This window comes from Homo sapiens, chromosome 6 (assembly GCF_000001405.40).
Source record: "Homo sapiens chromosome 6, GRCh38.p14 Primary Assembly".
NCBI lineage: Eukaryota > Metazoa > Chordata > Mammalia > Primates > Hominidae > Homo > Homo sapiens.
In genome coordinates, this window is record NC_000006.12 from 120,501,351 (window position 1) to 120,523,968 (window position 22,618).

Here is a 22,618-nt window from a genome sequence, read left to right on the forward strand (position 1 = left end):
AGTAATTTTTATAATAATATGTTTTCTAACTGTAAAACTGTTCACTTTTTATTTAATTTCATCAATGTTTTATAGTTTTCAGTTCACAAGTCTCACATCTCCTTGGTTAGATTTATTCAAAATTATTCTATTCATTTTGGTGCTATTGCAAATTGGATTGCTTACTTAATTTTCATTCCTGGTTTCTTATTGTTACTGTACAGAAATAAAACCAATTTTTATTTGTTATCTTTGAATCCTACTGCCTTGCTGAATTTATTAGCTGTAACGTATGTACGCATGTGTGTGTTTGTAATCTTTGCTCTTCTCTCCATATAAGATCACATCATCTGCAAACAGAGATAATTTATATTGTCCCTTCCAATCTGTATGTCTTTTATTTGTTTTTCTTCCCTAAATACTCTGGCCAAGATTTCCAGTACAGTACTATGTTGAATAGTGGTGGTAAAAGTAGATGTCTTAGTTTATTTTCTGCTGCTATAACAGAATACCATACACTAGGTAATTTACCTTATAAGTATGTGTGCTAACTGATTGTGCCACTGGTGCCACTCACTAGGTAATTTATAAAGAAAAGAAGTTATTTGGCTGAGAAGTCCAAGATAAAGGGCTGCATCTTGGGAGGACCTTTATGCTGCATTTTCCCATGGTGAAAGTCAAAGGGCAAGCAAACATGTGAGATAGAGAGGGGAAATTGGGCCAAATTATTATTTTTTTAATCAGAAGCCCATTCACCAATAACTAACTCCTTCTCATGATAAGGGCATTAATCCATTCGTAAGGGCAGACTCCTCACAACCTAATCACCCGTTAAAGGTCCCGCCTCTTAATACTGCCACAATGTGAATTAAATTTCTACTTGAGTTATGAAGGAGACATTCAAACCATAACATTGGGCTTCAATTTTAGCAGAATTCATATGGCTCTGATTAGAGATCTATATCTTGTTCATGATCTCAGCAGAAAAGCTGGAGGTTGGTTCCTCAAAATGGTTAAGAAAATTGGCAAACCATTATCTAGATTAAGAAAGAAAAATAGAAGACTCAAATTACTAAAATCAGATGAACTTAAGTGTGCATGTGTCTTTATGATAGAATAATTCATATTCCTTTGGGTATATATCCAATAATGAGATTACTGGATTGAATGGTAATTCTTTTTTTTTTTTTGAATGGTAATTCTATTTTAAGTTCTTTGAGAAATCACCAAACTGCTTTCCACAATGACTTAACTAATTTACACTCCCACCAGCAGTGTATAAGTATTCTCTTTTCTCTGCAACCTTTCCAGCATCTGGTATTATTTGACTTTTTAAGTATAGTCATTCTGACTAGTGTAAGATGCTATCTCATTGTTGATTTTGATTTGTATTTCTCCAACGATTAGTGATGTTGAACTTTTCTTCACACGCTTATCAGTTGCATGTATGTCTTCTTTTGAAAAGTGTCTATTCATGTCATGTAACCACTTTTCAATGTTTTGTTTGTTTTGGTTTTTGCTTGTGAATTTAAGTTTTTATAGATTCTGGATATTAGACCTTTGTTGGATGTATAGTTTGCAAATATTTTCTCCCATTTTGTAGGTTGTCTGTTTACTCTGCTGATAGTTTCTATGACATGTATCTTTTAAATCTATTGAGACATAACTTGTGGCCTAACATATGGTCTATCCTGGAAAATGTCTCGTGCACTTGAAAAGAATGCATAATTCTGTTGTTGGGTTGTTGGGTTGTTGTATGTGCATTAGATCTAGTTGGCTTCTTGTGTTGTTCAAGTCCTCTATTTCTTTCTTTTTTTTTTTTTTTTTTTTTTTTTTTTTGAGATGGAGTTCCATTCTTGTCGCCCAGGCTGGAGTGCAATGGTGCAATCTCAGCTAACTGCAACCTCCACATCCTGGGTTCAAGCAATTCTCCTACCTCAGCCTCCCAGGTAGCTGGGATTACAGGCGCCTGCCACCACACCCAGTTAATTTTTGTATTTTTAGTAGAGACAGGGTTTTACTTTATTGGCCAGGCTGGTCTCCAACCCCTGACCTTAGGTGATCAGCCCACCTCGGCCTCCAAAAAAGCTGGGATTACAGGCATGAGCCACCATGCCCAGCCAAGTCCTCTATTTCTTAACTTACCTTCTGTCTGTTCTATTCATTATTGAAAATGGGATAGTCAAGTCTCCAACTACTATTATAGAACTATCTTTCCATTCAAATGTAAATTTTTACTTTGATATAATTTGGAAGTCTGTTATTAGGTGCATGAATATTTATAATTGTTCTGTCTTCTTGTTGTATTGAAGCTTTTTAAATATATGATATCTGTAGTCTCTTTTTTTATTTAAAATCTATTTTGCCTAAAATAAGTATAGTTACTGCTGCTCTATTTTAGTTACTATTTGCATGGAACAGTGATATGGTTTGGCTGTGTCCCCACCCAAATCTCATGTTGAATTTAGTTCCCATAATACCCAGGTGTTGTGGGAGGGGCCCAGTGTGAAATAATTGAATCATGGGCGTGGTTATCCCCATGCTGCTGTTCTCATGATAGTGAGTACTCATGAGATCTGATGGTTTTATAAGGAGCTTTTCCCTTTTTGGTCTGCACTTCTCTTGCCCGCTGCCATGTGAAGCAGGACATTTTTGCTTCCCATTATGCCATGATTATAAGTTTCCTGAGGACTCTCTAGCCCTGCATAACTGTGAGTCAATTAAACCTCTTTCCTTTAAAAATTACCCAGTCTCGGGTATGTTTTTATTAGCAGAGTGAGAATGGACTAATACAAATAGCTTTTTCCATCCTTTCATTTTTGACCTATTTTGCATCTTTGGATCTCTAATTAGTCTTTTGTAGAACAAATATAGTTTGATAATTTTTTTATTCCATTCTGTCAATCTTTGTCTTTTGATTGGATGGCTTAATCCATTCATGTTTAAAGTAATTACTGACAAGAAGAAGCTTAATTCTGTCATTTTACATATGTTTTCTATATGCCTTGTACCTTTTTACCCCTCATTTCCTGCATTACTCTTTTATGTTTAGTTGATTTTTTTGTAATGAAATATTTTAATTTCCATCTCATTTTCTTTTGTGTATATTCTAAAACTATTTTCTTGTGCTTACTATGAGAATTACATTCAACATTCTAAAGTTATTACACTCCTATTTGACTTTATACTAACTTAACTTTTATAACATACAAAGACATTCCCTAACAAACAAAGTTCAGGAAGTTCCTTACCACTAGAACTGCTCTGCAAACAATGCTAAAAGAAGATCTTCACATTGAAGTAAAAGGACACTAGACAGTAACTCAAAGTTGTATGAGGAAATAACAATTTCAGTAAAGGTAAATATATGGGCACTTATGAAAGCTAGTATTATTGTAACAACAGTTTGTAACTCTACTTTTATTTGATTTGATTTAAAAAACTAATGCATTTAAAGAAAACAATTATTTATGTTTGGGATGTACAATATATAAAGATATAGTTTTGTGACATCAATAACTGAAAGAGATAAGAATATACCTGTAATAAGTTTTTGATACAGTTTAATTTGTTTAGTGTGCTCAGCATTCCATCTTGTGATCTTCATACATTCTGGGTTTAATTTTGTATGTATTACATTTTACATATTGTCATCTACAATTTAATGGGACTGCAACATTTATAAACTCATGCATCCACCAACTTAATACTATGAAAAACAGCTTCATCATTCTAAAAGGCTTATATGTGGCCACTTTGAAGCCAACTCTTGCCTTCTTCCCAATCCTTGACAACACTGAACTGGTTTCTATCCCTACGGTGTTGCTTTTTCCAGAATATTATATATATTGGATCATACAATATAAAGCTTTGGGGGTTTGGCTTTTTTTCACAAAACAAACTGAATTTTAAAATCCTTCCATGTTGTGTTTGAATCCATATGTTATTATTTTGTTTGTTCAGTAATAACAATAATTTGAATCATACAGTATGCAAACTTTAAAACTAGCTTCTTTCAATAAGCAAAATGTCTTTGAGATCCACCTAACTTAGTGTTTGTATCAATATTTATTTCTGGTGTTTAGTAATATTCCATTTCGGGGATGCACCATAAACCAATGTTGAAGTACTTTGTCACTGCTACCAATTAACATATGAATGAAATTCATATACAGAATTTTGCGTAAACATGTTATTAATCCACCTTACTAAATATCTAAGAGTGAGATTGCTGAGTTATTGAAAGCACAAGTTTAATTTTATATGAAACTGCCAAGTTTTCTTCCAAAATGGCTGTTCCATTTTCCATTTGCGTTAGCAATTAAGAGCATTCCTGTTGACTTATATCCATGCTAGCATTTAGTATTATCAGTTTTGGGGATTTCAGCCATTAAAATAAATATGTAGTGATATCATATTGTATTTTTAATTTAAATTTCCTAATAAGAGATGATGTTGACAATCTTTGTATGAGCTTATTTTCCAACTGTATATCTTATTTGGTGAAGTCTCATTTCAAATATTTTGCTTACTTATTAAATGGCTATCTGATTTCTCAGTATTTGTTAGGATTTTTCTTTATATATTCTGAAAAAATTCTTTACCATAAATGTGGTAGCAAATATATCAGAATCAATACTTTCCATCCTTTAATCCAGTCAAGTTGACACTCAGTATTAACCATCACAAGTCCACCCCTTGTCAACTTGAACCCATACACATCACCTGAGATCATACGTAATCCTCAAATAAAGACAATGATAAGATCATAATTACAGCTAACATAGTACAACTGTCCTTCATACAACTGGAAATGCACCAATCCCCAACCCAAATACTATTATATAAAGGTAACAACACTTAAATGCTGATATGAAGTCAATAAATCTTATGTCACATGATAAAGGAAAATGAAATAAACTGAAGATATTTTCTTAGTACAAATGTATACATGCACAACAAAAGAAGGAGGAAATACTCATGACAGTTACAGTCCTGGTTTCTGCAGCTGGTCACGTGGTCGTAGCTGGTATTGATGGCTACCTTCTTCTACTACCCATTCTGTGTTGCCTTTGCCTTCAGCAACCACCTCAGCAGGTCATGGTTTTTTTACCTGGTGGAGTGACCCAAACCTTCATTCCTGAGGAGTCTGGACCATTTGTAGTCCTGCCTGTATTGGGCTGTTGTAGTTTTCCATTGACCTTAATCACAGGGCTTGGTAATACTAAGAGATGCCCTAATGGATCTTCTGTATTCTATGCATACTCCTCCTTACTTCCATTATGGAGTAGCAGCCTGATTTCATCTTGATTGTCCAGGTCAATCACCCCGGCCAACACTGTAGCTCTCTTCTTAGCCTGTTGACTTACAGGTAGGAGTAACCCAAAGTGTCCAAGTGGCAACCTTAACTTCCAGTTTAATGGAATTGTTGTTGTGTCTCCTGGTGGCAGCCTTCCTCCCTCTCGAACTAAGACCTCTAAGCCAGCACAACGTAATGTCACAGGAACAGGAAGCAAAAATTTTGCTAGTGGATCACTAGGGGTGATGGTGAGTGGTACCACTTCCACTTCTACCCCTTCATTTCTGGACCCATGAAACCTGGCTTTGGGAGAAACAGTACCATATATTGGATGCTGATTCAGAGCATACACAGCCTTCTGGAGAACTTTGCTCCAGCCCTGCAAAGTATTGTCACCTAATTGGCATTGTAATTGTGACTTCAAAAGGCCATACTACCATTCTATCAATCCAGCTGCTTCAGGATGATGGGAAACATGGTAAGACCAGTAAATTCTATGAGCATGAGCCCACTGCCGCACTTCTTTAGCTGTAAAGTAAGTGCCTTGGTCAGAGGCAATGCTGTGTAGAATAGCATGACGGTAGATAAGGCATTCCCATGAGTCTATGGATGGTAGTCTTGGCAGAAGCATTGTGTGCGGAATAGGCAAACCCATATCTAGAGTAAGTGTCTATTCCAGTGAGGACAAACCTCTGCCATTTCCATGATGGAAGAGGTCCAATATAATCAATCTGCCACCAGGTAGCTGGCTGATCACCCCAAGGAATGGTATCATATCGAGTGCTCAGTGTTGGTCTGTCTCTGCTGCTGGCAAATTGGGCACTCAGCAGTGGCCGCAGCCAGGTCAGCCTTGGTGAGTGGAAGTCCATGTTGCTAAGCCCATGCATAACCTCCATCCCTGCCACCATGGCCACTTTGTTCATGGGCTCATTGGGCAATGATAGGGTTGACTGGGGAAAGAGGGTGAGTGGTGTCCACAGAAAGGGTCATCCTATCCACTTGATTATTAAAATCCTCCTCTGCCACATTCACCTGTTGGTGAGCACTCACATGGGATACAAATATCTTAACAGTTTTTGACCACTCGGAGAGGTCCATCCACATACCTCTTCCCCAAATTTCTTCGTCACCAGTTTTATAATCATGCTTCTTCCAAGTCCCTGACCATCCAGCCAAATCATCTGCTAGAGCCCATGAATCAGTATATAATCACAAATCTGGCCATTTATCCCTCCATATGAAGTGCACAAACAGGTGCTCTACTTGAATTTCTGCCCACTGGGAAGATTTCCCTTCACTGCTGTCCTTCAGGGATGTCCTAGAAAGGGGCTGTAGTGCTGCAGCTGTCTACTTATGAGTGGTGCCAGCCTATCATGCAGAACCATGTGTGAACCAGGCCCTAGTCTTCTCTTCCTCTGTCAACTGATCATAGGGAACTCACCATGAGATCATTGGTGCAAGCTGGAGGAGAGAAGGCAGGGTGGCAGGAGTGGAGACTAAATGCATTTGAGCCACTTCCACATGTAACTTACTTGTGACTTCAGGACCTACTCGAGCCCGATCACGTATATACCACATCCATTTGATGATGGAATGCTGCTGTGTATGAGCCACTTTATGGCTAATGGGTCAGAAAGCACCCAGTTCATGATAGGCAATTCAGGTCACATGGTGACTTGATGACCTATGGTCAAACATTCAGTTGCCACCAAAGCCCAGTAACAGGCCAAGAGCTCTCTCTCAAAAGGAGGGTAGTTATCTGAAAAAGATGGCAGGGCCTTGTTCCAAAACTTTAGAGGCGTCTGCTGTGATTCACCTATGGGGGCTGCCAAAGGCTCCAAACAGCATACCCGTTTGCCACTGACACCTCGAGCACCATTGATCTACTGGGTTATATGGCCCAAGTGGCAGAGCAGCTTGCATAGCAGCCTGGACCTGTTGCTGAGCCTTCTCCTGTTCTGGACCCCACTCAAATCTGACAGCCTTTCAGGTCACTCGATAAATGGGCCAAAGTAACACACCCAAATGAGGAATGTGTTGCCTCCAAAATACAAATAGACCCACCAGGCGTTCTGCTTCTTTCCTTGTTGTAGGAGGGGCCAAATTCAGCAACTTATCCTTCACCTTATAAGGAATACCTCAACAGGCCCCAAGCCACTGGACCCCTAGAGATTTTACTTAGGTAGAAGTTCCCTGAACTTTAGTCAGATTTATTCCCCTTCCTCTCGCAGACAAATAGCTCACCAATAAGTCCAGCGTGTTTACTGCTTCTTGCTCACTGAATCCAATCAGCATAATGTCATCAGTGTAATGGACCAGTGTGATATCTTGTGGAATCAAAAAGTGATCAAGGTCTCTCTGAATACGATTATGACACAAAGCCGGAGAGTGATCCAATTTCATTGCCCTTAGCCAACATGTGTATATGTATGTATATGTATATACATACACACATATGTATACATACACACACAAATATGTAGATATGTGTATATCTGTGTATACATACACATGTGTATGTATATATACATACATGCATATGTACATATGTATATACACATGTACATATATATATCTACACACATATACAAGTGTATACATGTGTATATATACAGGTGTATATATGTATACATGGGCATATGTGTGTATATGTATATATGCATTTGTATATATGTGTATATATCTGTGTATACATATATACAGGTGTACATAGGTATATCTTTATATATACATGTATATACACATATATACACATGTATATACACATATATACATATAATATGTATGTATATATACTATATATATGTATATAGTCATTCTGATGGATATGTAATGATTTTTCGTTTTCCTTTTACTGTTTCCCCTGATGGTTAATTATTTAACATTTCTCTGGTTGCTAGTGATATTAAACATTTTTTACATGCCCGTTTGTCATCATTATATTCTCCTTGGTAAAGAAATACCTTGCGCTACGTTAGAACATATGCTAATGTAAAATTTTGTTTATTTCAATGGTCCTTGCTTTCATTTCTGTAATTGCAAAATCAATGCAAATATGTCTACTTCAAACTGAAGATCACTGCTTATATTAATAAATGATATTCAGTTGCACAGATAATACTCTTTACAAACATAGATCTGATTTTTGATTCATGGATTAATTTGGGTATTGAGTGTTTCTAGCATTTCCAGGAGAAGATATTCGGTATGGCAGGGATGTAAGCTGCATATGTGAACAAATGGGAGATAAGGCTGGGTCCAAATTTTGATATTATGAAATTTTTGCATTATATTCTACAGCTATATGTATTAAAAGATATTAGATGGCATATATTGCTATATAAACCTAAAGTGCAATCATTATTATTGTTCATAACTATTTCCATCTTTACCAAGGTATAATTTGGCCTCTTAGCAATGTTCAATTTATGTGCCAGATCAAATTAAAGATAGATCTTCCAGGGGCTTGATATATGACTAGAAGATATCTAAAACTCCTTATAGTCTCATTTGTATATAAAACGTTATTATTAATTTTTAATAATCATGTGACATGTGAGTTTTGTGGTGTGTTCTTTTAAAATGTCTGCAAGCTTTTTATAAGTTAATTATTCCTTCTGAAAAACTCACCTTGTAATATGTTCAGTGCCAATTAACTTTATTACTGGGCGGTTAATTCCTTCTTAAATGACAGACATTCTCTTTTACCTATTTCTTAAGATAACATATTAGCATGGAATACCTTTTATTATGTTTGGATAATGGAATAAACTGGAGGTTTATTTTTCTTGTTCAAGTCATCAAATAGCATTTATTATGGCACCAATTTTACCCAGCTCTGTTCTGGGCATACAAAATGAATGAGAGTGTTACTGCCATGAAAAAGTTTTCACATTCTCAAAGCCGAAGACATTATGAAAGCTTGGGATGCTGAATTACGAATTCTCAACTTTCATAAGATGAACAGACTGCCCAAAGATGTGTCTTGTCAACCTAAAAGCTAAGGGCTTTTGTGGTAAGAATTTTTTTTTTTTTTTAAGACGGAGTCTCGCTCTACTGTCCAGGCTGGAGGGCAGTGACGCGATCTCGGCTCTCTGCAAGCTCTGCCTCCCGGGTTCATGCCATTCTCCTGCCTCAGCCTCCCAAGTAGCCGGGACTACAGGCGCATGCCACCACGCCCGGCTAATTTTTTTGTGTTTTTAGTACAGACGGGGTTTCACCGTGTTAGCCAGGATGGTCTGGATCTCCTGTCCTCGTGATCCGCCCTTCTGGGCCTCTCATAGTGCTGGGATTACAGGCATGAGCCACCACACCCAGTCAAGAATTTTTTCAATAATCATCATTTACAAAATTAAGGCAGAAATAAATAAGTTATTTGAAACCAAAGAGAACAAAGACACAACGTACCAGAATCTCTGGGACAAAGCTAAAGCAGTGTGTAGAGGGAAATTTTTAGCACTAAATGCCCACAGGAGAAAGCAGGAAAGATCTAAAATCGACAACCTAACATCACAATTAAAAGAACTAAAGAAGCAAGAGCAAACAAATTCAAAAGCTAGCAGAAGACAAGAAATAACTAAAATCAGAGCAGAACTGAAGGAGATAGAGACAGGAAAACCCCTTCAAAAAATCAGTGAATCCATTTTGCTTTTTAATGTCTGTGCTCATAAATGTTAAAGTCTGTGAATAATTAGTTCGATATACATACACCAAGAATAAAGACAGATGATGAACCTGACACATTGACATAGACTTATAGATTTTAGTGTTTCTAAATGTTTCCCATGAACAAGAAAAAATATCTTAAACATGCACAATTTTTTTGCTATATGTTAATTTTTATGGAGAAAAGATAGTACCCAGCTACCTTCTGATGTACTTACAAGTTGAATTTGCATAATTAAAAACAAGAAAACACACAGAGAAACTCTTCCACTCCCCCAAAATTGTTATGAGATTAAAATTTCTTAAATTTTATTTGTGTTTATGTATGTGTATATACCATATTACCAAAACTGTAAGAAAGAAGACTTTAAATGTGTGTCTATGTGTGTGTATGTGTGTGTTTCAAGATAATCTAAAAAAAAGACAATTCTAGGACTTTGGTAGCACTATGGGTAGCATTTCAGATTATCACTTAGTAGAGTAAGAATGCATCATCCTGCCTAAGAGCTTTGACAAGAGCTGAGTACTGGCAGAAAAGGACATTGGTAACCAAGATACATCATTTACAGTGTGGCCTTCTTATGACTCCTGTCAAGTTACAGCATAATCTGAAGAAAATAAACATCACTTAAGGTTGCAATGACCTTCTAAGGGCTTGTTTTTCAGAGCAGAGGGTAGATGGCACAACACCATGAGTAACTGAATATGATTGTACTGAAGCAAATTTGATAGAATGTCATTTTCTTTAAACTCTGCTTGTGAGTTCAATGTCTAACATATGATTATTTAATATTTCTGCAGACTAAAATATGTCTGTTACATGTCTAAATTTTTTTCTGATTTACTTTTCTGCATAAAGTTGATAAAAACATATGTGCATGATACCTATCAAAATGTCTGCCTCAATATGATAGAGATATAATGAATAACAATATAACAAACTTATTATATGTTATGTTTCTCATAAATTGAACCAAAGAACATTGTTCATCAATGTATGAAGAGAACTAATGTGGAAGATGTTTGGTGTCAAATCAGAAGACAGTACAATAATTTGCATGACCTTAACAAACCGGGTGACTTTTAGAGGATTTGAAATGGCCATATAGGAATAGTAGCACTCTAGAGAAAACTTACAGTTTATTTCAAACAGCAGTGAGAGCTCCTAGTCAAACAGCAGAAAAACAAAATGGACAGAATATATTTTCTTGAAAATCTCAGAAATAAAAACAAGAGGTCTGAAAAAAGATAGCATATAAAATAAATAATAGTCTAATAGACAATTCTGAAGAGAATATTGATTACTAGAATTTAGAAATGAGGATGCACCACAGAATACAACAGAGATAAACATATGACAAGTACTGAAAGTCGAAAGATTGGAAGAACAAATTGAGAAGTTTCCATTTTGTCTAAGAAGAATTTCAGGAGACACAACCATAGATAACCGGGGAAAGAAAATATTCAGAGATAAAGCTTATAATTTTTCAAGAATTGAAGAAAATTTTAAATATCAGTATTGAAAACATGTTGACTGAACTTGATTTAAAATAAACAAAATTCCTATTTAGACAAATGCTAGTTAATGAAGACTCTGCAATGTGTACATGAAAATCTAACAAACCTAGCCTTTTCTTCCTGTAGCCTATGTCCTCTATGTCATTTTCTATACACACCTTAATTATTCATGTCTATATGCTTAATCTTATGTGTGTGATTTTTTTTCTAATGTACATGGATCTTTACTTTTACTTTTGGAAATCCTTTCTAATCTTCCATTGTATTTAAAATACCTTGTCATCTCACAAAATATTGTTTTTCCTGCTGTAATAACCTCCAGCTTCTTCTCTGTGTACATATTTTAAATTTCTTTTTATATTACTTACCTATTATACAAAGAAACAAGACTTATTTATGTTTACATCCTCCATATTTTTCTCTAGTAACCTGTCCTTAGTAGATCCTTATAAGCATTCTGTGAATAAAGGCCTAAATAAATGAACCCAGATTAAGGTCTTCAATTATTTCAAGCTATCAAATCAGCCCTATTTAAAAGTTTGCTTTAGTAGAAGCCTTAATATTTTAATACTTTAGTATAAACACAGTTGGGTCTCATGAGTTGTAGTAAAATTTTCTTAGTTATAATAAATGGAAGCATCTTCCACCAGGATGCTTTTATTTAGTGGATATGAGATAAGTAAGGGTTAATGAATAAGTTTTTTTTTTTTTTTTACTCTAGGCAAGTTAAATACAAGAAAGATCATTCAATTATCTCTTATTATATGAGTAATGTGAAGAGATTTCCATTGAAATACAAAAAAAGAGTAAAAGAATAATGAATTCAAGTGAGTTAGTTCAATAGCATATTTCCTCATACTAGAGATTGATTAAAAAAATTAAAATTTAAACAAGATCTATCAATACAAATTTGGAAAATGTCTGAAAACCATGTGTCTTGAATTGTGCTAGTGGGACACTTTAAGCCTGAGCAAGCTTCTTTCAAGCTATAAGTACAGTACTCTATGATTTTATTTTGAAGTTCAATCCCTTTCTGTTTTGTTCATTCCATCCAGTTGGATCAATTTCTCATTTCTCTATTAATATTTTATACTGTTTTACTACTCCATGTGAATCAGCTTTTACTTAGTTATTTTATTCTCTTTTCTATATCTATTTTAAAGAATAACCCCTAAAGGCAGTTTGAAAGATGTAATAGAGTAACAATTATAGAAGAAAACAAGTATGTGAATGGGTGGGTGAAGGAATGAATGGATGGATTCTGTCCAGAAAGGCCGAGATGCAGAATATTGGGAAGTGGATATTCTAAACATCAGGATCTTCTATAAACACTACAGGACAGGCAAAGACTTGCTTTTCAGTTGGTGATATTTTCATACATATATTTGAATTAATGGTGTACTGTGTTGCATATGCAGATTAGAAAAACAACACTTGGCTGATAAAAATTACATTGTAACTATCAACTTCAGTTAATTAAAAATGAGAATTTTTAATAATTTGTATTTTTAAATAAACCCACATATAAATCCAAAAGAGCTCTGCAGAAAGAGTAAGAAATATTAAGAAATATTTGCATCAAAAGGAAAACAAATGCCTAAATTTTGACAAAGGTAATGGGTGTAAGAAGTAGACCATTTTTAACTCAAAGCTATGCTAGAGAATACTGTTATAGTATCAGATTGTCTGAGCCATCACATCCTAATTAGATCATGACTCTGTAATATTGACAACTTTGAATCTCTCAGATAAATATCTCAAGAGAAAAAGATGACTAACAGAAAACTTAATTTAAAATCTCAATCTTTTCTGGTAACCCAGAAAATATTCTGATAACATGCAATTATCTTTAATAATCTTAGATAATGGCTGTATGATACGGGGAATGTCCTGTATATCCATTCCTTCTGAGAAACAATTGTGGTTACAGTTGGCATTTTTGAGTGTAAGTGCTGCTTCTATAATAGCAACTGCCCTGAAAAGTTTGGCAATAAGTAAGATTAATGACTGAGAACCACAAAACTATGTTGGAATCACTGTTATTTATGAAACATCAGGAACATCCATCTCTGTCTGCTCATTCTAGAACTGCATAATGGAAAGAACACAGAAATGGAAGTCAGTTGGTCAAGGTCACAATTTAAACTCTGCCTCAAACTGGTTGTGTGACCTTGGTCATCTTTCATAAATCTAAGGTGTACCTATGTTACAGCAATGAGTGGATTACATTAGATTGACACTGAAACCTCTTCTAGTTCAGCTCTAAAATTTTGTAAATCTGAAACATTTGTCAGCATATAAGAAACATATGTACTGTGAATTGAGAGAAACTCCTGCTACCATTCTACAAATAATTAAACATTTGATTTTAATCTATGAACTACGAATTTTCTACATTTTTCCTCTTGTTTATACCATTGCAGGCTTATTTCTAATGCCAACTTTTATCATCTAAATTTAATCTAAATTTTAATATCTGACAACGTAGAAACCAACTATTTGGCATGCAGTTGTTTACCTAAAAGATCCAAAGATAAATACTTTGCAGATAACCTGAATAGCCAGGATTTCCAAATGTTCTGTGTTTTGTAATGTGTTAAATCACTTTTAGATCTGATGTGCTATTTCATTATACAAAGAAAATTTAGTAGAAATAAAAACCAATTAAATATTGCTTCATAAAATGGCCGATGGATACCAGAAATACTAAAAAATACAAATTTCTGTAGAAATACCATAGAATTACTTGCTAGAACATACTGAAAAATCTAAATGTGAGCTTAACCCAAGGGCAATAAACATAACTGTGGGTCTTAATGCATTTAGTGTTGCTAAATACATGAGGCTGGGAAATTCATAAAGAAAACAGGTTTATTTATCTCACAATTCTAGTGGCTGGAAAGTCCAAGAACATGACACTAGCATCTGCTTGCCTTCTGATGAGGGCCATGTGCTGCTACAAGACATGGCAGGAAAGTGGAAAGGTGAGGGGTGTGAGTAAAGAGAGGTCCCAAAAAGGAGGGGGAAATAATTCTTTTATAATCCACTCTCGCAGTAACAAATCCATTCTGGCAAGAGGGAGAACACACTTATTTCCAATGAGATAGCATTACTTCATTCATAAGGGAATTGCCTACATGACACAAACAACTCCCACTAGGCTCCACATCCCAACATGGTTACAGTGGCAATTAAATCTCAATATGAGTATTGGCAGGGACAAACCACATTCAAACCACAGCAACTATGACAATCTCAAGCTGATTTAGTTCCCAGTAGAAATATTAGATTTCCTATAATCCCTGATTATAGAAGCCAGGAAAAGAGGAAGTGAATAGTAGAAAATGGAGGATGTCCAGTTACCATATATAGTTAATTTTGTGTGTCAACTTCACTGGACCACAGGACCCACAGATTTGGTTAAACATTATTTCTAGTTGTGTCTGTGAGGGTATTTCTGGATGAGATTAACATATGAATTAATAGACTGAGTAAAGCAGATTGCTATCCCCAGTGTGGGTGGGCCTCATTCAGTTCTTTTAAGACCAGAATAAAATAAAAAATGATGTAAGAAAGAGTTTTCTCTCTCTCTGCCTTACTGTCCTGGACCTGAGATATTGGTCACTTTCTCCCTTCCAACATGGACTAGGAATGGAACTATACCACTGACTATCCTGTATCTGGATTCTTCAGCTTCCATAATTATGTGACCAATTCCTTATAATACACACACAGGCACATACACACATTCTATTAGTTTTGTTTCTCTGGAGAATCTTTACCAAAGCACTCTATATCTGATGGGTTGGCCACCACTGGCTAAAGAACAGCCTATCTCTGGAACAGGAAAACTAAAAATGGACAACGTATTGTTCCTTATCACTGTTGGCTTAAGCATAGGTATCTAAACCATTATGCAACTGTAATAATCCAATACACATATATCTATTTCCCCCTCACACACATAGTGCAGACTCATCAGGAATGAAATCATGTCTGGCAGTAAACAAAACAGAGTCATTCTATATGAATTATTATAATAGAAGTTAATATTTACTTGAATATTTACCATGTGTGAGGCTCTGAGCTAAACATTTTTACAATTATCATATTTGATTCTGCAAAATTCCAACAAGTACTACTATCATAATCTGCATCTTGCAGATGAGGCAACTAAAATTTAGAGAGGATAAGTAATGTCCATTTCATATCTGAGAAGTAATATTCCTGGTCTTAAATTAAGTCTTGATAACTTTAAAGCAATTCTTTTAATCAATTGCTATAAATTTTGAATATTGGACTGTAACAGTGGCAAAGTGACCCAAGAGAACAAGACTTCTAGGATCACAGGATGTGCTGTTTACTACTTTTTATTCAACAAGCAACTCATGTTAGTCTTTGGTTGAGTAACATCTTGAATGTTTTAATCTCTATAAAGCTCTTGTAGAGCATAAATCATGAGTCCTTCCATTTATTCCCCATAGGGGCTACCACAGCTAGGAGGCCAGAGTGCTCTGGCTTTTCCACTGATAAATTTTTATTTTACAATATTTGATATACAAGTATTCACATATTGTACACTTTTAAATTTAGTTATGTGAAAATTCAGATGAAGCATATGAACACATTGAGTATACAAATAGCAATTTTCAAAACAACTTTTTTTAAGATTAAGATACAGGACAGATAGTAAAATAAATTTTTCCTCCTGTTTTTGTCCCTAAACAACCTTTATTTACAATTCAAATATTTCCTGCCTCTTGCTTGCTCTTCCCTACACTGCCTATATACAGCAAAATAAATAAATAAATAAATAAATAAATTAGAGGAAAACAAGAGACAAAGGGGAAACAATGTTTGCCTTTTACCATTAAGAAAAAAATATAAAAATAAAACCTTTCCCCAGAAAGGGTTTGGGAGGCCATTTCCTTTCTCTCCAATCTCAAAAATTATTCATGAGTAATGTTCATTATCATCATGTGATTATCTAATAATATATTTAGGTCACTCTCATTTCCATTAATAAGGAATGATCTATATTCACATTTCTGTAACTTAGTTCATCTTCTCATCAATTCTAGTAATTGAAGAGATCTTTCCTCAATAAATGAAGCATATGACCAGCTTCACAAACTTTACTCTTCTTACAATTATTATGTTTCTTTTTACAAAAATAAAAAGTAGAATATATTCCATTGTCTGTAAGAGTAAAATTTTAAAATAATTTAAGGAAATAGCTTTGGTAGTAATACATAAGGCTCTTGCTTCCAAATGGCAAGGAGCTATGGGAGAATTGGAGAGGTGTTCTCATTTGCACAGTAAACACTGTAATTGTTTTTCCTGTGGGAATGGAAAGTATAATATATATGGTGTGCTTTTGCTGGCAATTTTCCCTTGGAAAATTAAACTTATCTTATTTGGATAATATTTTGTCCAGAATTTTACCAGTGACATGACTTGGATTACTCTGTTCATAAAATCTATTAGCTAACAGATAACCTCAAAAATTGAGAAACATGACTTTACAAAAACAGTTATGAGGAAATGTATCACTTTTCAACAATTTTTTTTAAAATTCTGCATAGATATTTCCCCATAAAATAAATGTTTAAGTAACTAAAATAATTTTGATATATTTCTAATTATTTATCCCTAATGATAAAACTGTCCTCTTTGGGGAGAGGGGGAATCCATCTTTTTTACTTCATTATAAAAACTAGGGGCTTTATAATTTATATAAACCTAAAATTTTAAAATTGTACAGGCACATATTACTTAGGACCAGGAATATAAGATTTTTTTAACTTTTATATTAAGTTCAGGAGGTACATGTGTAGGTTTGTTATGTAAGTAAATCCATGTCATGGAGGTTTGTTGTACAGATTATTTTGTCATCTTGGTATCGAGCCTAGTACCAATTAGTTATCTTTCTTGATCCTCTTCCTCCTTGCACCTTCCACCCTCTGATATATCCCAGTGTCTGTTGTTTCGCTTTATATGTCTATGTGTCCTAACATTTAGCTCCCACTTAATAGTGAAAACAGGCTGTGTTTGATTCTTATGTTAGTTTGCTAAGGATAATAACCCCAGTGCCATCCATGTGCCTTCAAAGGGCATGATTTCATTTTTATGGCTGCATAGTATTCCATGGTGTGTATGTATCATATTTTCTTTGTCCAGTACACCATTGATGGGCATTTAGGTTGATTCCATGTCTTTGCTATCGTAAATAGTGCTGAGATGAACATATACATTGCATGTGTCTTTATAATAGAATGATTTATATTCCTTTGGGTGTATACTTAGTAATGAGATTGCTGGGTAGTTTTATTTTTAGATCTTCAAGGAATTACCAAACTATTTTCTACAATAATTGAACAAATTTACACTCCTATCAACAGTTTTTAAGTGTTCCTTTTTCTCTGCAACCTCACTAGCACCTGTTATTTTTGACTTTTTAATAGTAGCCATTCTTACTGGTGTGAGATGGTTTCTCATTGTGGTTTTGATTCGTATTTCTCTAATGATCAGTGTTGGTCAGCTTTTTTTTTTTAATTTAATTTAATTTTATTTTATTATTATACTTTAAGTTTTAGGGTACATGTACACAATGTGCAGGTTAGTTACATATGTATACATGTGCCATGCTGGTGTGCTGCACTCATTAACTCGTCATTTAGCATTAGGCATATCTCCTAATGCGATCCCTCCCCCCTCCCCCCACCCCACAATAGTCCCCAGAGTGTGATGTTCCCCTTCCTGTGTCCATGTGTTCTCATTGTTCAATTCCGACCTATGAGTGAGAATATGCAGTGTTTGGTTTTTTGTTCTTGTGATAGTTTCCTGAGAATTATGATTTCCAATTTCATCCATGTCCCTACAAAGGACATGAACTCATCATTTTTTATAGCTGCATAGTATTCCATGGTGTATATGTGCCACATTTTCTTAATCCAGTCTATCACTGTTGGACATTTGGGTTGGTTCCAAGTCTTTGCTACTGTGAATAGTGCCGCAATAAACATACGTGTGCATGTGTCTTTATAGCAGCATGATTTATAGTCCTTTGGGTATATACCCAATAATGGGATGGCTGGGTCAAATGGTATTTCTAGTTCTAGATCCCTGAGGAATAGCCACACTGACTTCCACAATGGTTGAACTAGTTTACAGTCCCACCAACAGTGTAAAAGTGTTCCTATTTCCACACATCGTCTCCAGCACCTGTTGTTTCCTGACTTTTTAATGATTGCCATTGTAACTGGTGTGAGATGGTATCTCATTGTGGTTTTGATTTGCATTTCTCTGATGGCCAGTGATGGTGAGCATTTTTTCATGTGTTTTTTGGTTGCATAAATGTCGTCTTTTGAGAAGTGACTGTTCATGTCCTTCGTCCACTTTTTGATGGGGTTGTTTGTTTTTTTCTTGTAAATTTGTTGGAGTTCATTGTAGATTCTGGATATTAGCCCTTTGTCAGATGAGTAGGTTGCGAAAATTTTCTCCCATTTTCTAGGTTGCCTGTTCACTCTGATGGTAGTTTCTTTTGCTGTGCAGAAGCTCTTTAGTTTAATTAGATCCCATTTGTCAATTTTGGCTATTGTTGCCATTGCTTTTGGTGTTTTAGACATGAAGTCCTTGCCCGTGCCTGTATCCTGAATGGTATTGCCTAGGTTTTCTTCTAGAGTTTTTATGGTTTTAGGTCTAACGTTTAAGTCTTTGATCCATCTTGAATTGATTTTTGTATAAGGTGTAAGGAAGGGATCCAGTTTCAGCTTTCTACATATGGCTAGCCAGTTTTCCCAGCACCATTTATTAAATAGGGAATCCTTTCCCCATTGCTTGTTTTTCTCAGGTTTGTCAAAGATCAGATAGTTGTAGATATGCGGCATTATTTCTGAGGGCTCTGTTCTGTTCCATTGATCTGTATCTCTGTTTTGGTACCAGTACCATGCTGTTTTGGTTACTGTAGCCTTGTAGTAGAGTTTGAAGTCAGGTAGTGTGATGCCTCCAGCTTTGTTCTTTTGGCTTAGGATTGACTTGGCGATGCGGGCTCTTTTTTGGTTCCATATGAACTTTAAAGTAGTTTTTTCCAATTCTGTGAAGAAAGTAATTGGTAGCTTGATGAGGATGGCACTGAATCTATAAATTACCATGGGCAGTATGGCCATTTTCACGATATTGATTCTTCCTACCCATGAGCATGGAATGTTCTTCCATTTCTTTGTATCCTCTTATTTCATTGAGCAGTGGTTTGTAGTTCTCCTTGAAGAGGTCCTTCACGTCCCTTGTAAGTTGGATTCCTAGGTATTTTATTCTCTTTGAAGCAATTGTGAATGGGAGTTCACTCATGATTTGGCTCTCTGTTTGTCTGTTATTGGTGTATAAGAATGCTTGTGATTTTTGTACATTGATTTTGTATCCTGAGACTTTGCTGAAGTTGCTTATCAGCTTAAGGAGATTTTGGGCGGACACAATGGGGTTTTCTAGATATACAATCATGTCATCTGCAAACAGGGACAATTTGACTTCCTCTTTTCCTAATTGAATACCCTTTATTTCCTTCTCCTGCCTAATTGCCCTGGCCAGAACTTCCAACACTATGTTGAATAGGAGTGGTGAGAGAGGGCATCTCTGTCTTGTGCCAGTTTTCAAAGGGAATGCTTCCAGTTTTTGCCCATTCAGTATGATATTGGCTGTGGGTTTCTCATAGATAGCTCTTATTATTTTGAGATATGTCCCATCAATACCTAATTTATTGAGAGTTTTTAGCATGAAGGGTTGTTGAATTTTGTCAAAGGCCTTTTCTGCATCTATTGAGATAATCATGTGGTTTTTGTCTTTGGTTCTGTTTATATGCTGGGTTACATTTATTGATTTGCATATATTGAACCAGCCTTGCATCCCAGGGATGAAGCCCACTTGATCATGGTGGATAAGCTTTTTGATGTGCTGCTGGATTTGGTTTGCCGTATTTTATTGAGGATTTTTGCATCAATGTTCATCAAGGATATTGGTCTAAAATTCTCTTTTTTGGTTGTGTCTCTGCCCAGCTTTGGTATCAGGATGATGCTGGCCTCATAAAATGAGTTAGGGAGGATTCCCTCTTTTTCTATTGATTGGAATAGTTTCAGAAGGAATGGTGCCAGTTCCTCCTTGTACCTCTGGTAGAATTCGGCTGTGAATCCATCTGGTCCTGGACTCTTTTTGATTGGTAAGCTATTGATTATTGCCACAATTTCAGAGGCTGTTATTGGTCTATTCAGAGATTCAACTTCTTCCTGGTTTAGTCTTGGGAGGGTGTATGTGTCGAGGAATTTATCCATTTCTTCTAGATTTTCTAGTTTATTTGCGTAGAGGTGTTTGTAGTATTCTCTGATGGTAGTTTGTATTTCTGTGGGATCAGTGATGATATCCCCTTTATCATTTTTTATTGCATCTATTTGATTCTTCACTCTTTTCTTCTTTATTAGTCTTGCTAGTGGTCTATCAATTTTGTTGACCCTTTCAAAAAACCAGCTCCAGTGGCAGCCAAGATGGCTGAATAGGAACAGCTCCGGTCTACAGCTCCCAGTGTGAGCGACGCAGAAGACGGGTGATTTCTGCATTTCCATCTGAGGTACCAGGTTCATCTGACTAGGGAGTGCCAGACAGTGGGCGCAGGACAGTGGGTGCAGCGCACCGTGCACAAGCCGAAGCAGGGCGAGGCATTGCCTCACTCGGGAAGCGCAAGGGGTCAGGGAGTTCCCTTTCCTAGTCAAAGAAAGGGGTGACAGACGGCACCTGGAAAATCGGGTCACTCCCACCCTAATACTGCGCTTTTACGGGCTTAAACAATGGCACACCAAGAGATTATATCCTGCACCTGGCTCGGAGGGTCCTATGCCCATGGAGTCTCCCTGATTGCTATCACAGCAGTGTGAGATCAAACTGCAAGGCTGCAGCGAGGCTGGGGGAGGGGCGCCCACCATTGCCCACGCTTGCTTAGGTAAACAAAGCAGCCTGGAAGCTTGAACTGGGTGGAACCCACCACAGCTCAAGAAGGCCTGCCTGCCTCTGTAGGCTCCACCTCTGGGGGCAGGGCACAGACAAACAAAAAGACAGCAGTAACCTCTGCAGACTTAAATGTCCCTGTCTGACAGCTTTGAAGAGAGCAGTGGTTCTCCCAGCACCAGCACACAGCTGGAGATCTGAGAACGGGCAGACTGCCTCCTCAAGTGGGTCCCTGACCCCTGACCCCTGAGCAGGCTAACTGGGAGGCACCCCCCAGTAGGGGCAGACTGACACCTCACATGGCCAGGTACTCCTCTGAGACAAAACTTCCAGAGGAATGACCAGACAGCAGCATTCACGGTTCGCGGAAATCCACTGTTCTGCAGCCACTGTGGCTGATACCCAGGCAAACAGGGTCTGAAATGGACCTCTAGCAAACTCCAACAGACCTGCAGCTGAGGGTTCTGTCTGTTAGAAGGAAAACTAACAAACAGAAAGGGCATCCACACCAAAAACCCATCTGTACATCACCATCATCAAAGACCAAAAGTAGATAAAACCACAAAGATGGGGAAAAAACAGAGCAGAAAAACTGGAAACTCTAAAAAGCAGAGTGCCTCTCCTCCTCCAAGGGAATGCAGTTCCTCACCAGCAACGGAACAAAGCTGGACGGAGAATGACTTTGACGAGTTGAGAGAAGAAGTCTTCAGACGATCAAACTACTCCGAGCTACAGGAGGAAATTCAGACCAAAGGCAAAGAAGTTAAAAACTTTGAAAAAAATTTAGACGAATGTATAACTAGAATAACCAATACAGAGAAATGCTTAAAGGAGCTGAAAGCCAAGGCTTGAGAACTACGTGAAGAATGCAGAAGCCTCAGGAGCCGATGTGATCAACTGGAAGAAAGGGTATCAGTGATGGAAGATGAAATGAATGAAATGAAGCAAGAAGGGAAGTTTAGAGAAAAAAGAATAAAAAGAAAGGAACAAAGCCTCCAAGAAATATGGGACTATGTGAAAAGACCAAATCTGATTGGTGTACCTGAAAGTGATGGGGAGAATGGAACCAAGTTGTAAAACACTCTGCAGGATATTATCCAGGAGAACTTCCCCAGTCTAGCAAGGCAGGCCAACATTCAGATTCAGGTCAGCTTTTTCAAATATGCT